The sequence below is a fragment of the Homo sapiens genome, chromosome 9 (genome assembly GCF_000001405.40).
Source record: "Homo sapiens chromosome 9, GRCh38.p14 Primary Assembly".
NCBI classification, from domain to species: Eukaryota; Metazoa; Chordata; class Mammalia; order Primates; family Hominidae; genus Homo; species Homo sapiens.
Genome location: NC_000009.12, coordinates 44,538,518 through 44,556,848, shown reverse-complemented (window position 1 = coordinate 44,556,848; position 18,331 = coordinate 44,538,518). Strand labels below are relative to the sequence as shown.

The 18,331-nt window shown below is 37.4% G+C and overlaps 1 annotated feature.

Moving 5' to 3' along the window:
* Positions 1 to 18,331: part of a centromere (Linear centromere model derived predominantly from reads generated in PMID: 17803354. This region does not represent an actual centromere sequence, as long-range ordering of repeats and unmapped WGS contigs is not provided by the model. For details of model production, see http://arxiv.org/abs/1307.0035.) that runs on past both edges of the window.

The window sequence follows — 18,331 nt, the reverse complement described above, 5'->3', positions numbered from 1 at the left end:
ATGCTTCTGTCTAGTTTTTACTTGAAGATATTTCCTTTCTCACCATAGGCCTGAAAGCGCTTGAAACGTCAGCTTGCAGATACTACAGAAAGAGTGTTTCAAACCTGCTCTATGAAAGGGAATGTTCAGTTCTGTGACTTGAATGCAAACATCACAAAGAAGTTCCTGAGAATGCTTCTCTCTAGGTTTTATATGTAATCCCGTTTCCAACGAAATCCTCAAAGCTATCCAAATATCCACTTTCAGATTCCACAAAAAGAGTGTTTCAAAACTGCTCTGTAAAAAGAAAGGTTCATCTCTGTTAGTTGAATACACACATCACAAACAAGTTTCTGAGAATGCTTCTGTCTAGTTTTTATGGGAAGATATTTCCTTTTTCATCATAGGCCTCAAAGCGCTCCAAATGTCCACTTCCAGGTAGTGCAGAAATAGTGTCTCAAACCTGGTATATAACAGGGAACATTCTACTCTGTGACTTGAATGAAAACATCACAAAGCAGTTTCTGAGAATGCTTCCGTCTAGATTTTATATGAAGATATTCCCGTTTCCAACGAAACCTTCAAAGCTATCCGAATATCCACCTGCAGATTCTACAAAAAGAGTGTTTCCAAAATGCCGTATCAAAACAAAGGTTCAACTCTGTTAGTTGAGAACACACATGGCAAATAAGTTTCTGAGAATGCTTCTGTCTAGTTTTTACTTGAAGATATTTCCTTTCTCACCATAGGCCTGAAAGCGCTTGAAACGTCAGCTTGCAGATACTACAGAAGGAGTGTTTCAAACCTGCTCTATGAAAGGGAATGTTCAGTCCTGTGACTTGAAGGCAAACATCACAAAGAAGTTCCTGAGAATGCTTCTCTCTAGGTTTTATATGTAATCCCGTTTCCAACGAAATCCTCAAAGCTATCCAAATATCCACTTTCAGATTCCACAAAAAGAGTGTTTCAAAACTGCTCTGTAAAAAGAAAGGTTCATCTCTGTTAGTTGAATACACACATCACAAACAAGTTTCTGAGAATGCTTCTGTCTAGTTTTTATGGGATGATATTTCCTTTTTCAACATAGGCCTCAAAGCACTCCAAACGTCCACTTCCATGTAGTGCAGAAAGAGTGTTTCAAACCTGGTATATAACAGGGAACATTCTACTCTGTGACTTGAATGAAAACATCACAAAGCAGTTTCTGAGAATGCTTCCGTCTAGATTTTATATGAAGATATTCCCGTTTCCAACGAAACCTTCAAAGCTATCCGAATATCCACCTGCAGATTCTACAAAAAGAGTGTTTCCAAAATGCCATATCAAAACAAAGGTTCAACTCTGTTAGTTGAGAACACACATGGCAAATAAGTTTCTGAGAATGCTTCTCTGTCTAGTTTTTACTTGAAGCATATTTCCTTTCTCACCATAGGCCTGAAAGCGCTTGAAACGTCAGCTTGCAGATACTACAGAAAGAGTGTTTCAAACCTGCTCTATGAAAGGGAATGTTCAGTCCTGTGACTTGAAGGCAAACATCACAAAGAAGTTCCTGAGAATGCTTCTCTCTAGGTTTTATATGTAATCCCGTTTCCAACGAAATCCTCAAAGCTATCCAAATATCCACTTTCAGATTCCACAAAAAGAGTGTTTCAAAACTGCTCTGTAAAAAGAAAGGTTCATCTCTGTTAGTTGAATACACACATCACAAACAAGTTTCTGAGAATGCTTCTGTCTAGTTTTTATGGGAAGATATTTCGTTTTTCAACATAGGCCTCAAAGCGCTCCAAATGTCCACTTCCAGGTAGTGCAGAAAGAGTGTTTCAAACCTGCTCTATAAAAGGGAATATTCAACTCTGTGACTTGAATGCAAACATCACAAAGCACTTTCTGAGAATGCTTCTGTCTAGTTTTTATTTGAAGATATTCCCGTTTCCAACGAAACCTTCAAAGCTATTCAAATATCCACTTGCAGATTCTACAAAAAGAGTGTTTCCAAAATGTTGTATCAAAAGAAAGGTTCAACTCTGTTAGTTGAGGACACACATCGCAAATAAGTTTCTGAGAATGCTTCTGTCTAGTTTTTATTTGAAGATATTTCCTTTCTCACCACAGGCCTGAAAGCGCTTAAAACGTCCGCTTGCAGATACTACAGAAAGAGTGTTTCAAACCTGCTCTATGAAAGGGAATGTTCAGTTCTGTGACTTGAATGCAAACATCACAAAGAAGTTCCTGAGAATGCTTCTCTCTAGGTTTTATATGTAATCCCGTTTCCAACGAAATCCTCAAAGCTATCCAAATATCCACTTTCAGATTCCACAAAAAGAGTGTTTCAAAACTGCTCTGTAAAAAGAAAGGTTCATCTCTGTTAGTTGAATACACACATCACAAACAAGTTTCTGAGAATGCTTCTGTCTAGTTTTTATGGGAAGATATTTCCTTTTTCAACAAAGGCCTCAAAGCGCTCCAAACGTCCACTTCCAGGTAGTGCAGAAAGAGTGTCTCAAACCTGGTATATAACAGGGAACATTCTACTCTGTGACTTGAATGAAAACATCACAAAGCAGTTTCTGAGAATGCTTCCGTCTAGATTTTATATGAAGATATTCCCGTTTCCAACGAAACCTTCAAAGCTATCCGAATATCCACCTGCAGATTCTACAAAAAGAGTGTTTCCAAAATGCCGTATCAAAACAAAGGTTCAACTCTGTTAGTTGAGAACACACATGGCAAATAAGTTTCTGAGAATGCTTCTGTCTAGTTTTTACTTGAAGATATTTCCTTTCTCACCATAGGCCTGAAAGCGCTTGAAACGTCAGCTTGCAGATACTACAGAAAGAGTGTTTCAAACCTGCTCTATGAAAGGGAATGTTCAGTTCTGTGACTTGAATGCAAACATCACAAAGAAGTTCCTGAGAATGCTTCTCTCTAGGTTTTATATGTAATCCCGTTTCCAACGAAATCCTCAAAGCTATCCAAATATCCACTTTCAGATTCCACAAAAAGAGTGTTTCAAAACTGCTCTGTAAAAAGAAAGGTTCATCTCTGTTAGTTGAATACACACATCACAAACAAGTTTCTGAGAATGCTTCTGTCTAGTTTTTATGGGAAGATATTTCCTTTTTCAACATAGGCCTCAAAGCGCTCCAAACGTCCACTTCCAGGTAGTGCAGAAAGAGTGTCTCAAACCTGGTATATAACAGGGAACATTCTACTCTGTGACTTGAATGAAAACATCACAAAGCAGTTTCTGAGAATGCTTCTGTCTTGATTTCATATGAAGATATTCCCGTTTCCAACGAAACCTTCAAAGCTATCCAAATATCCACTTGCAGATTCTACAAAAAGAGTGTTTCCAAAATGTTGTATCAAAAGAAAGGTTCAACTCTGTTAGTTGAGGACACACATCGCAAATAAGTTTCTGAGAATGCTTCTGTCTAGTTTTTATTTGAAGATATTTCCTTTCTCACCATAGGCCTGAAAGCGTTTGAAATGTCCGTTTGTAGATACTACAGAAAGAGTGTTTCAAACATGCTCTATGAAAGGGAATGTTCAGTTCTGTGACGTGAATGCAAACATCACAAAGAAGTTCCTGAGAATGCTTCTCTCTAGATTTTATATGTAATCCCGTTTCCAACGAAATCCTCAAAGCTATCCAAATATCCACTTTCAGATTCCACAAAAAGAGTGTTTCAAAACTGCTCTGTAAAAAGAAAGGTTCATCTCTGTTAGTTGAATACACACATCACAAACAAGTTTCTGAGAATGCTTCTGTCTAGTTTTTATGGGAAGATATTTCCTTTTTCAACATAGGCCTCAAAGCGCTCCAAACGTCCACTTCCAGGTAGTGCAGAAAGAGTGTCTCAAACCTGGTATATAACAGGGAACATTCTACTCTGTGACTTGAATGAAAACATCACAAAGCAGTTTCTGAGAATGCTTCCGTCTAGATTTTATATGAAGATATTCCCGTTTCCAACGAAACCTTCAAAGCTATCCGAATATCCACCTGCAGATTCTACAAAAAGAGTGTTTCCAAAATGCCATATCAAAACAAAGGTTCAACTCTGTTAGTTGAGAACACACATCGCAAATAAGTTTCTGAGAATGCTTCTGTCTAGTTTTTACTTGAAGATATTTCCTTTCTCACCATAGGCCTGAAAGCGCTTGAAACGTCAGCTTGCAGATACTACAGAAAGAGTGTTTCAAACCTGCTCTATGAAAGGGAATGTTGAGTTCTGTGACTTGAATGCAAACATCACAAAGAAGTTCCTGAGAATGCTTCTCTCTAGGTTTTATATGTAATCCCGTTTCCAACGAAATCCTCAAAGCTATCCAAATATCCACTTTCAGATTCCACAAAAAGAGTGTTTCAAAACTGCTCTGTAAAAAGAAAGGTTCATCTCTGTTAGTTGAATACACACATCACAAACAAGTTTCTGAGAATGCTTCTGTCTGGTTTTTAGGAGAAGATATTTCCTTTTTCAACATAGGCCTCAAAGCGCTGCAAATCTCCACTTCCAAATATTACAAAAAGAGTGTTTCAAACCTGCTGTATGAAGGGAAGCGTTCAACTCTATGAGTTGAATGCAAACATCACAGAGAAGTTTCTGAGAATGCTTCTGTCTTGATTTCATATGAAGATATTCCCGTTTCCAACGAAACCTTCAAAGCTATCCAAATATCCACTTGCAGATTCTACAAAAAGAGTGTTTCCAAAATGTTGTATCAAAAGAAAGGTTCAACTCTGTTAGTTGAGGACACACATCGCAAATAAGTTTCTGAGAATGCTTCTGTCTAGTTTTTATTTGAAGATATTTCCTTTCTCACCACAGGCCTGAAAGCGCTTAAAACGTCCGCTTGCAGATACTACAGAAAGAGTGTTTCAAACCTGCTCTATGAAAGGGAATGTTCAGTTCTGTGACTTGAATGCAAACATCACAAAGAAGTTCCTGAGAATGCTTCTCCCTAGATTTTATATGTAATCCCGTTTCCAACGAAATCCGCAAAGCTATCCAAATATCCACTTTCAGATTCCACAAAAAGAGTGTTTCAAAACTGCTCTGTAAAAAGAAAGGTTCATCTCTGTTAGTTGAATACACACATCACAAACAAGTTTCTGAGAATGCTTCTGTCTAGTTTTTATGGGAAGATATTACCTTTTTCATCATAGGCGTCAAAGCGCTGCAAATGTCCACTTCCAAATATTACAAAAAGAGTGTTTCAAACCTGCTGTATGAAGGGAAGTGTTCAACTCTATGAGTTGAATGCAAACATCACAGAGAAGTTTCTGAGAATGCTTCTGTCTTGATTTTATATGAAGATATTCCCGTTTCCAACGAAACCTTCAAAGCTATTCAAATATCCACTTGCAGATTCTACAAAAAGAGTGTTTCCAAAATGTTGTATCAAAAGAAAGGTTCAACTCTGTTAGTTGAGGACACACATCGCAAATAAGTTTCTGAGAATGCTTCTGTCTAGTTTTTATTTGAAGATATTTCCTTTCTCACCATAGGCCTGAAAGCGTTTGAAATGTCCGTTTGCAGATACTACAGAAAGAGTGTTTCAAACATGCTCTATGAAAGGGAATGTTCAGTTCAGTGACGTGAATGCAAACATCACAAAGAAGTTCCTGAGAATGCTTCTCTCTAGATTTTATATGTAATCCCGTTTCCAACGAAATCCTCAAAGCTATCCAAATATCCACTTTCAGATTCCACAAAAAGAGTGTTTCAAAACTGCTCTGTAAAAAGAAAGGTTCATCTCTGTTAGTTGAATACACACATCACAAACAAGTTTCTGAGAATGCTTCTGTCTAGTTTTTATGGGATGATATTTCCTTTTTCAACATAGGCCTCAAAGCGCTCCAAACGTCCACTTCCATGTAGTGCAGAAAGAGTGTCTCAAACCTGGTATATAACAGGGAGACATTCTACTCTGTGACTTGAATGAAAACATCACAAAGCAGTTTCTGAGAATGCTTCCGTCTAGATTTTATATGAAGATATTCCCGTTTCCAACGAAACCTTCAAAGCTATCCGAATATCCACCTGCAGATTCTACAAAAAGAGTGTTTCCAAAATGCCATATCAAAACAAAGGTTCAACTCTGTTAGTTGAGAACACACATCGCAAATAAGTTTCTGAGAATGCTTCTGTCTAGTTTTTATTTGAAGATATTTCCTTTCTCACCATAGGCCTGAAAGCGTTTGAAATGTCCGTTTGCAGATACTACAGAAAGAGTGTTTCAAACCTGCTCTATGAAAGGGAATGTTCAGTTCTGTGACGTGAATGCAAACATCACAAAGAAGTTCCTGAGAATGCTTCTCTCTAGATTTTATATGTAATCCCGTTTCCAACGAAATCCTCAAAGCTATCCAAATATCCACTTTCAGATTCCACAAAAAGAGTGTTTCAAAACTGCTCTGTAAAAAGAAAGGTTCATCTCTGTTAGTTGAATACACACATCACAAACAAGTTTCTGAGAATGCTTCTGTCTAGTTTTTATGGAAAGATATTTCCTTTTTCATCATAGGCCTCAAAGCGCTGCAAATGTCCACTTCCAGGTAGTGCAGAAAGAGTGTCTGAAACCTGGTATATAACAGGGAAGATTCTACTCTGTGACTTGAATGAAAACATCACAAAGCAGTTTCTGAGAATGCTTCCGTCTAGATTTTATATGAAGATATTCCCGTTTCCAACGAAACCTTCAAAGCTATCCGAATATCCACCTGCAGATTCTACAAAAAGAGTGTTTCCAAAATGCCGTATCAAAACAAAGGTTCAACTCTGTTAGTTGAGAACACACATGGCAAATAAGTTTCTGAGAATGCTTCTGTCTAGTTTTTACTTGAAGATATTTCCTTTCTCACCATAGGCCTGAAAGCGCTTGAAACGTCAGCTTGCAGATACTACAGAAAGAGTGTTTCAAACATGCTCTATGAAAGGGAATGTTCAGTCCTGTGACTTGAAGGCAAACATCAAAAAGAAGTTCCTGAGAATGCTTCTCTCTAGGTTTTATATGTAATCCCGTTTCCAACGAAATCCTCAAAGCTATCCAAATATCCACTTTCAGATTCCACAAAAAGAGTGTTTCAAAACTGCTCTGTAAAAAGAAAGGTTCATCTCTGTTAGTTGAATACACACATCACAAACAAGTTTCTGAGAATGCTTCTGTCTAGTTTTTATGGGAAGATATTTCCTTTTTCAACATAGGCCTCAAAGCGCTCAAAACGTCCACTTCCAGGTAGTACAGAAAGAGTGTCTCAAACCTGGTATATAACAGGGAACATTCTACTCTGTGACTTGAATGAAAACATCACAAAGCAGTTTCTGAGAATGCTTCCGTCTAGATTTTATATGAAGATATTCCCGTTTCCAACGAAACCTTCAAAGCTATCCGAATATCCACCTGCAGATTCTAGAAAAAGAGTGTTTCCAAAATGCCATATCAAAACAAAGGTTCAACTCTGTTAGTTGAGAACACACATGGCAAATAAGTTTCTGAGAATGCTTCTGTCTAGTTTTTATTTGAAGATATTTCCTTTCTCACCATAGGCCTGAAAGCGTTTGAAACGTCCGTTTGCAGATACTACAGAAAGAGTGTTTCAAACATGCTCTATGAAAGGGAATGTTCAGTTCTGTGACGTGAATGCAAACATCACAAAGAAGTTCCTGAGAATGCTTCTCCCTAGATTTTATATGTAATCCCGTTTCCAACGAAATCCTCAAAGCTATCCAAATATCCACTTTCAGATTCCACAAAAAGAGTGTTTCAAAACTGCTCTGTAAAAAGAAAAGTTCATCTCTGTTAGTTGAATACACACATCACAAACAAGTTTCTGAGAATGCTTCTGTCTAGTTTTTATGGGAAGATATTTCCTTTTTCAACATAGGCCTCAAAGCGCTCCAAATGTCCACTTCCAGGTAGTGCACAGACTGTTTCAAACCTGCTCTATGAAAGGAAGTGTTCAACTCCATGAGTTGAATGCAAACATCACAGAGAAGTTTCTGAGAATGCTTCTGTCTTGATTTTCTATGAAGATATTCCCGTTTCCAACGAAACCTTCTAAGCTATCCAAATATCCACCTGCAGATCCTACAAAAAGAGTGTTTCCAAAATGCTGTATCAAAACAAAGGTTCAACTCTGTTAGTTGAGAACACACATCGCAAATCAGTTTCTGAGAATGCTTCTGTCTAGTCTTTATTTGAAGATATTTCCTTTTTCACCACAGGCCTGAAAGAGCTTGAAACGTCCCCTTGCAGATACTACAGAAAGTGTGTTTCAAACCTGCTCTATGAAAGGGAATGTTCAGTTCTGTGACTTGAATGCAAACATCACAAAGAAGTTCCTGAGAATGCTTCTCCTCTTAGATTTTATATGTAATCCCGTTTCCAACGAAATCCTCAAAGCTATCCAAATATCCACTTTCAGATTCCACAAAAAGAGTGTTTCAAAACTGCTCTGTAAAAAGAAAGGTTCATCTCTGTTAGTTGAATACACACATCACAAAGAAGTTTCTGAGAATACTTCTGTCTAGTTTTTATGGGAAGATATTTCCTTTTTCAACATAGGCCTCAAAGCGCTCCAAACGTCCACTTCCGGGTAGTGCAGAAAGAGTGTCTCAAACCTGGTATATAACAGGGAACATTCTACTCTGTGACTTGAATGAAAACATCACAAAGCAGTTTCTGAGAATGCTTCCGTCTAGATTTTATATGAAGATATTCCCGTTTCCAACGAAACCTTCAAAGCTATCCGAATATCCACCTGCAGATTCTACAAAAAGAGTGTTTCCAAAATGCCGTATCAAAACAAAGGTTCAACTCTGTTAGTTGAGAACACACATGGCAAATAAGTTTCTGAGAATGCTTCTGTCTAGTTTTTACTTGAAGATATTTCCTTTCTCACCATAGGCCTGAAAGCGCTTGAAACGTCAGCTTGCAGATACTACAGAAAGAGTGTTTCAAACCTGCTCTATGAAAGGGAATGTTTAGTCCTGTGACTTGAAGGCAAACATCACAAAGAAGTTCCTGAGAATGCTTCTCCCTAGATTTTATATGTAATCCCGTTTCCAACGAAATCCTCAAAGCTATCCAAATATCCACTTTCGGATTCCACAAAAAGAGTGTTTCAAAACTACTCTGTAAAAAGAAAGGTTCATCTCTGTTAGTTGAATACACACATCACAAACAAGTTTCTGAGAATGCTTCTGTCTAGTTTTTATGGGAAGATATTTCCTTTTTCATCATAGGCCTCAAAGCGCTGCAAATGTCCACTTCCAAATATTACAAAAAGAGTGTTTCAAACCTGCTGTATGAAGGGAAGTGTTCAACTCTATGAGTTGAATGCAAACATCACAGAGAAGTTTCTGAGAATGCTTCTGTCTTGATTTTATATGAAGATATTCCCGTTTCCAACCGAAACCTTCAAAGCTATCCAAATATCCACTTGCAGATTCCACAAAAAGAGTGTTTCCAAAATGTTGTATCAAAAGAAAGGTTCAACTCTGTTAGTTGAGGACACACATCGCAAATAAGTTTCTGAGAATGCTTCTGTCTAGTTTTTATTTGAAGATATTTCCTTTCTCACCATAGGCCTGAAAGCGTTTGAAATGTCCGTTTGCAGATACTACAGAAAGAGTGTTTCAAACATGCTCTATGAAAGGGAATGTTCAGTTCTGTGACGTGAATGCAAACATCACAAAGAAGTTCCTGAGAATGCTTCTCCCTAGATTTTATATGTAATCCCGTTTCCAACGAAATCCGCAAAGCTATCCAAATATCCACTTTCAGATTCCACAAAAAGAGTGTTTCAAAACTGCTCTGTAAAAAGAAAGGTTCATCTCTGTTAGTTGAATACACACATCACAAACAAGTTTGCTGAGAATGCTTCTCTGTCTAGTTTTTATGGGAAGATATTTCCTTTTTCATCATAGGCCTCAAAGCGCTGCAAATGTCCACTTCCAAATATTACAAAAAGAGTGTTTCAAACCTGCTGTATGAAGGGAAGTGTTCAACTCTATGAGTTGAATGCAAACATCACAGAGAAGTTTCTGAGAATGCTTCTGTCTTGATTTTATATGAAGATATTCCCGTTTCCAAAGAAACCTTCAAAGCTATCCAAATATCCACTTGCAGATTCTACAAAAAGAGTGTTTCCAAAATGTTGTATCAAAAGAAAGGTTCAACTCTGTTAGTTGAGGAAACACATCGCAAACAAGTTTCTGAGAATGCTTCTGTCTAGTTTTTATTTGAAGATATTTCCTTTCTCACCATAGGCCTGAAAGCGTTTGAAATGTCCGTTTGCAGATACTACAGAAAGAGTGTTTCAAACATGCTCTATGAAAGGGAATGTTCAGTTCTGTGACGTGAATGCAAACATCACAAAGAAGTTCCTGAGAATGCTTCTCTCTAGATTTTATATGTAATCCCGTTTCCAACGAAATCCTCACAGCTATCCAAATATCCACTTTCAGATTCCACAAAAAGAGTGTTTCAAAACTGCTCTGTAAAAAGAAAGGTTCATCTCTGTTAGTTGAATACACACATCACAAACAAGTTTCTGAGAATGCTTCTGTCTAGTTTTTATGGGAAGATATTTCCTTTTTCATCATAGGCCTCAAAGCGCTCCAAATGTCCACTTCCAGGTAGTGCAGAAATAGTGTCTCAAACCTGGTATATAACAGGGAACATTCTACTCTGTGACTTGAATGAAAACATCACAAAGCAGTTTCTGAGAATGCTTCCGTCTAGATTTTATGTGAAGATATTCCCGTTTCCAAGGAAATCTTCCTAGCTATCTAAATATCAACTTGCAGATTCTACTAAAGGAGTGTTTCCAAAATGCTGTATCCACACAAAGGTTCAACTCTGTTAATTGAGGACATACAGCACAAAGAAGTTTCTGAGAATGCTTCTGTCTAGATTTTATATGAAGATATCCCGTTTCCAAAGAAATCCTCAAAGGTATCCAAATATCTACTTCCAGATTCTACAAAAAGACTGTTTCAAAACGGCTCTGTCAAAAGTAAGGTTCAACTCTGTTACTTGAGTACACACATCACAAGAAAGTTTCTGAGAATGCTTCTGTCTGGTTTTTAGGAGAAGATATTTCCTTTTTCAACATAGGCCTCAAAGCGCTGCAAATGTCCACTTCCAAATATTACAAAAAGAGTGTTTCAAACCTGCTGTATGAAGGGAAGTGTTCAACTCTATGAGTTGAATGCAAACATCACAGAGAAGTTTCTGAGAATGCTTCTGTCTTGATTTCATATGAAGATATTCCCGTTTCCAACGAAACCTTCAAAGCTATCCAAATATCCACTTGCAGATTCTACAAAAAGAGTGTTTCCAAAATGTTGTATCAAAAGAAAGGTTCAACTCTGTTAGTTGAGGACACACATCGCAAATAAGTTTCTGAGAATGCTTCTGTCTAGTTTTTATTTGAAGATATTTCCTTTCTCACCACAGGCCTGAAAGCGCTTAAAACGTCCGCTTGCAGATACTACAGAAAGAGTGTTTCAAACCTGCTCTATGAAAGGGAATGTTCAGTTCTGTGACTTGAATGCAAACATCACAAAGAAGTTCCTGAGAATGCTTCTCCCTAGATTTTATATGTAATCCCGTTTCCAACGAAATCCGCAAAGCTATCCAAATATCCACTTTCAGATTCCACAAAAAGAGTGTTTCAAAACTGCTCTGTAAAAAGAAAGGTTCATCTCTGTTACTTGAATACACACATCACAAACAAGTTTCTGAGAATGCTTCTGTCTGGTTTTTAGGAGAAGATATTTCCTTTTTCAACATAGGCCTCAAAGCGCTGCAAATGTCCACTTCCAAATATTACAAAAAGAGTGTTTCAAACCTGCTGTATGAAGGGAAGTGTTCAACTCTATGAGTTGAATGCAAACATCACAGAGAAGTTTCTGAGAATGCTTCTGTCTTGATTTCATATGAAGATATTCCCGTTTCCAACGAAACCTTCAAAGTTATCCAAATATCCGCTTGCAGATTCTACAAAAAGAGTGTTTCCAAAATGTTGTATCAAAAGAAAGGTTCAACTCTGTTAGTTGAGGACACACATCGCAAATAAGTTTCTGAGAATGCTTCTGTCTAGTTTTTATTTGAAGATATTTCCTTTCTCACCACAGGCCTGAAAGCGCTTAAAACGTCCGCTTGCAGATACTACAGAAAGAGTGTTTCAAACCTGCTCTATGAAAGGGAATGTTCAGTTCTGTGACTTGAATGCAAACATCACAAAGAAGTTCCTGAGAATGCTTCTCCCTAGATTTTATATGTAATCCCGTTTCCAACGAAATCCGCAAAGCTATCCAAATATCCACTTTCAGATTCCACAAAAAGAGTGTTTCAAAACTGCTCTGTAAAAAGAAAGGTTCATCTCTGTTAGTTGAATACACACATCACAAACAAGTTTCTGAGAATGCTTCTGTCTAGTTTTTATGGGAAGTTATTTCCTTTTTCAACATAGGCCTCAAAGCGCTCCAAATGTCCACTTCCAGGTAGTGCAGAAAGAGTGTTTCAAACCTACTCTATAAAAGGGAATATTCAACTCTGTGACTTGAATGCAAACATCACAAAGCACTTTCTGAGAATGCTTCTGTCTTGATTTTATATGAAGATATTCCCGTTTCCAACGAAACCTTCAAAGCTATTCAAATATCCACTTGCAGATTCTACAAAAAGAGTGTTTCCAAAATGTTGTATCAAAAGAAAGGTTCAACTCTGTTAGTTGAGGACACACATCGCAAATAAGTTTCTGAGAATGCTTCTGTCTAGTTTTTACTTGAAGATATTTCCTTTCTCACCATAGGCCTGAAAGCGCTTGAAACGTCCGCTTGCAGATACTACAGAAAGAGTGTTTCAAACATGCTCTAAGAAAGGGAATGTTCAGTTCTGTGACTTGAATGCAAACATCACAAAGAAGTTCCTGAGAATGCTTCTCTCTAGATTTTATATGTAATCCCGTTTCCAACGAAATCCTCAAAGCTATCCAAATATCCACTTTCAGATTCCACAAAAAGAGTGTTTCAAAACTGCTCTGTAAAAAGAAAGGTTCATCTCTGTTAGTTGAATACACACATCACAAACAAGTTTCTGAGAATGCTTCTGTCTAGTTTTTATGGGAAGATATTTCCTTTTTCATCATAGGCCTCAAAGCGCTCCAAATGTCCACTTCCAGGTAGTGCAGAAAGAGTGTCTCAAACCTGGTATATAAAAGGGAACATTCTACTCTGTGACTTGAATGAAAACATTACAAAGCAGTTTCTGAGAATGCTTCCGTCTTGATTTTATATGAAGATATTCCCGTTTCCAACGAAACCTTCAAAGCTATTCAAATATCCACTTGCAGATTCTACAAAAAGAGTGTTTCCAAAATGTTGTATCAAAAGAAAGGTTCAACTCTGTTAGTTGAGGACAGACATCGCAAATAAGTTTCTGAGAATGCTTCTGTCTAGTTTTTACTTGAAGATATTTCCTTTCTCACCATAGGCCTGAAAGCGTTTGAAATGTCCGTTTGCAGATACTACAGAAAGAGTGTTTCAAACATGCTCTATGAAAGGGAATGTTCAGTTCTGTGACGTGAATGCAAACATCACAAAGAAGTTCCTGAGAATGCTTCTCTCTAGATTTTATATGTAATCCCGTTTCCAACGAAATCCTCAAAGCTATCCAAATATCCACTTTCAGATTCCACAAAAAGAGTGTTTCAAAACTGCTCTGTAAAAAGAAAGGTTCATCTCTGTTAGTTGAATACACACATCACAAACAAGTTTCTGAGAATGCTTCTGTCTAGTTTTTATGGGAAGATATTTCCTTTTTCAACATAGGCCTCAAAGCGCTCCAAACGTCCACTTCCAGGTAGTGCAGAAAGAGTGTCTCAAACCTGGTATATAACAGGGAACATTCTACTCTGTGACTTGAATGAAAACATCACAAAGCAGTTTCTGAGAATGCTTCCGTCTAGACTTTATATGAAGATATTCCCGTTTCCAACGAAACCTTCAAAGCTATCCGTATATCCACCTGCAGATTCTACAAAAAGAGTGTTTCCAAAATGCCGTATCAAAACAAAGGTTCAACTCTGTTAGTTGAGAACACACATGGCAAATAAGTTTCTGAGAATGCTTCTGTCTAGTTTTTACTTGAAGATATTTCCTTTCTCACCATAGGCCTGAAAGCGCTTGAAACGTCAGCTTGCAGATACTACAGAAAGAGTGTTTCAAACCTGCTCTATGAAAGGGAATGTTCAGTCCTGTGACTTGAAGGCAAACATCACAAAGAAGTTCCTGAGAATGCTTCCGTCTAGATTTTATATGAAGATATTCCCGTTTCCAACGAAACCTTCAAAGCTATCCAAATATCCACTTTCAGATTCCACAAAAAGAGTGTTTCAAAACTGCTCTGTAAAAAGAAAGGTTCATCTCTGTTAGTTGAATACACACATCAAAAACAAGTTTCTGAGAATGCTTCTGTCTAGTTTTTATGGGAAGATATTACCTTTTTCATCATAGGCCTCAAAGCGCTGCAAATGTCCACTTCCAAATATTACAAAAAGAGTGTTTCAAACCTGCTGTATGAAGGGAAGTGTTCAACTCTATGAGTTGAATGCAAACATCACAGAGAAGTTTCTGAGAATGCTTCTGTCTTGATTTTATATGAAGATATTCCCGTTTAAAACGAAACCTTCAAAGCTATTCAAATATCCACTTGCAGATTCTACAAAAAGAGTGTTTCCAAAATGTTGTATCAAAAGAAAGGTTCAACTCTGTTAGATGAGGACACACATCGCAAATAAGTTTCTGAGAATGCTTCTGTCTAGTTTTTATTTGAAGATATTCCCGTTTCCAACGAAACCTTCAAAGCTATTCAAATATCCACTTGCAGATTCTATAAAAAGTGTGTTTCCAAAATGTTGTATCAAAAGAAAAGTTCAACTCTGTTAGTTGAGGACACACATCGCAAATAAGTTTCTGAGAATGCTTCTGTCTAGTTTTTATTTGAAGATATTTCCTTTCTCACCATAGGCCTGAAAGCGTTTGAAATGTCCGTTTGCAGATACTACAGAAAGAGTGTTTCAAACATGCTCTATGAAAGGGAATGTTCAGTTCTGTGACGTGAATGCAAACATCACAAAGAAGTTCCTGAGAATGCTTCTGTCTAGATTTTATATGAAGATATCCCGTGTCCAACGAAATCCTCAAAGGTATCAAAATATCCACTTGCAGATTCTACAAAAAGAGTGCTTCAAAACTGCTCTGTCAAAATGAAGGTTCAACTCTGTTACTTGAGTACACACATCACAAGGAAGTTTCTGAGAATGCTTCTGTCTGGTTTTTAGGAGAAGATATTTCCTTTTTCAACATAGGCCTCAAAGCGCTGCAAATGTCCACTTCCAAATATTACAAAAAGAGTGTTTCAAACCTGCTGTATGAAGGGAAGTGTTCAACTCTATGAGTTGAATGCAAACATCACAGAGAAGTTTCTGAGAATGCTTCCGTCTTGATTTTATATGAAGATATTCCCGTTTCCAACGAAACCTTCAAAGCTATTCAAATATCCACTTGCAGATTCTACAAAAAGAGTGTTTCCAAAATGTTGTATCAAAAGAAAGGTTCAACTCTGTTAGTTGAGGACACACATCGCAAATAAGTTTCTGAGAATGCTTCTGTCTAGTTTTTACTTGAAGATATTTCCTTTCTCACCATAGGCCTGAAAGCGTTTGAAATGTCCGTTTGCAGATACTACAGAAAGAGTGTTTCAAACATGCTCTATGAAAGGGAATGTTCAGTTCTGTGACGTGAATGCAAACATCACAAAGAAGTTCCTGAGAATGCTTCTCTCTAGATTTTATATGTAATCCCGTTTCCAACGAAATCCTCAAAGCTATCCAAATATCCACTTTCAGATTCCACAAAAAGAGTGTTTCAAAACTGCTCTGTAAAAAGAAAGGTTCATCTCTGTTAGTTGAATACACACATCACAAACAAGTTTCTGAGAATGCTTCTGTCTAGTTTTTATGGGAAGATATTTCCTTTTTCAACATAGGCCTCAAAGCGCTCCAAACGTCCACTTCCAGGTAGTGCAGAAAGAGTGTCTCAAACCTGGTATATAACAGGGAACATTCTACTCTGTGACTTGAATGAAAACATCACAAAGCAGTTTCTGAGAATGCTTCCGTCTAGATTTTATATGAAGATATTCCCGTTTCCAACGAAACCTTCAAAGCTATCCGAATATCCACCTGCAGATTCTACAAAAAGAGTGTTTCCAAAATGCCGTATCAAAACAAAGGTTCAACTCTGTTAGTTGAGAACACACATGGCAAATAAGTTTCTGAGAATGCTTCTGTCTAGTTTTTATTTGAAGATATTTCCTTTCTTACCATAGGCCTGAAAGCCCTTGAAATGTCCGTTTGCAGATACTACAGAAAGAGTTTTTCAAACATGCTCTATGAAAGGGAATGTTCAGTTCTTTGACGTGAATGCAAACATCACAAAGAAGTTCCTGAGAATGCTTCTCTCTAGATTTTATATGTAATCCCGTTTCCAACGAAATCCTCAAAGCTATCCAAATATCCACTTTCAGATTCCACAAAAAGAGTGTTTCAAAACTGCTCTGTAAAAAGAAAGGTTCATCTCTTGTTAGTTGAATACACACATCACAAACAAGTTTCTGAGAATGCTTCTGTCTAGTTTTTATGGGAAGATATTTCCTTTTTCATCATAGGCCTCAAAGCGCTCCAAATGTCCACTTCCAGGTAGTGCAAAAAGAGTGTTTCAACCCTGCTCTATAAAAGGGAATATTCAACTCTGTGACTTGAATGCAAACATCACAAAGCACTTTCTGAGAATGCTTCCGTCTAGATTTTATATGAAGATATTCCCGTTTCCAACGAAACCTTCAAAGCTATCCGAATATCCACCTGCACATTCTACAAAAAGAGTGTTTCCAAAATGCCGTATCAAAAAAAAGGTTCAACTATGTTAGTTGAGAACACACATGGCAAATAAGTTTCTGAGAATGCTTCTGTCTAGTTTTTATTTGAAGATATTTCCTTTTTCACCACAGGCCTGAAAGCGCTTGAAACGTCCGCTTGCAGATACTACAGAAAGAGTGTTTCAAACCTGCTCTATGAAAGGGAATGTTCAGTTCTGTGACTTGAATGCAAACATCACAAAGAAGTTCCTGAGAATGCTTCTCCCTAGATTTTATATGTAATCCCGTTTCCAACGAAATCCTCAAAGCTATCCAAATATCCACTTTCAGATTCCACAAAAAGAGTGTTTCAAAACTGTTCTGTAAAAAGAAAGGTTCATCTCTGTTAGTTGAATACACACATCACAAACAAGTTTCTGAGAATGCTTCTGTCTAGTTTTTATGGGAAGATATTTCCTTTTTCATCATAGGCCTCAAAGCGCTGCAAATGTCCACTTCCAGGTAGTGCAGAAAGAGTGTCTCAAACCTGGTATATAACAGGGAACATTCTACTCTGTGACTTGAATGAAAACATCACAAAGTAGTTTCTGAGAATGCTTCCGTCTAGATTTTATATGAAGATATTCCCGTTTCCAACGAAACCTTCAAAGCTATCCGAATATCCACCTGCAGATTCTACAAAAAGAGTGTTTCCAAAATGCCATATCAAAACAAAGGTTCAACTCTGTTAGTTGAGAACACACATCGCAAATAAGTTTCTGAGAATGCTTCTGTCTAGTTTTTACTTGAAGATATTTCCTTTCTCACCATAGGCCTGAAAGCGCTTGAAACGTCAGCTTGCAGATACTACAGAAAGAGTGTTTCAAACCTGCTCTATGAAAGGGAATGTTCAGTCCTGTGACTTGAAGGCAAACATCACAAAGAATTTCCTGAGAATGCTCTTCTCTCTAGAATTTTATATGTAATCCCGTTTCCAACGAAATCCTCAAAGCTATCCAAATATCCACTTTCAGATTCCACAAAAAGAGTGTTTCAAAACTGCTCTGTAAAAAGAAAGGTTCATCTCTGTTAGTTGAATACACACATCACAAACAAGTTTCTGAGAATGCTTCTGTCTAGTTTTTATGGGAAGATATTTCCTTTTTCAACATAGGCCTCAAAGCGCTCCAAATGTCCACTTCCAGGTAGTGCAGAAAGAGTGTTTCAAACCTGCTCTATAAAAGGGAATATTCAACTCTGTGACTTGAATGCAAACATCACAAAGCACTTTCTGAGAATGCTTCTGTCTTGATTTTATATGAAGATATTCCCGTTTCCAACGAAACCTTCAAAGCTATCCAAATATCCACTTGCAGATTCTACAAAAAGAGTGTTTCCAAAATGTTGTATCAAAAGA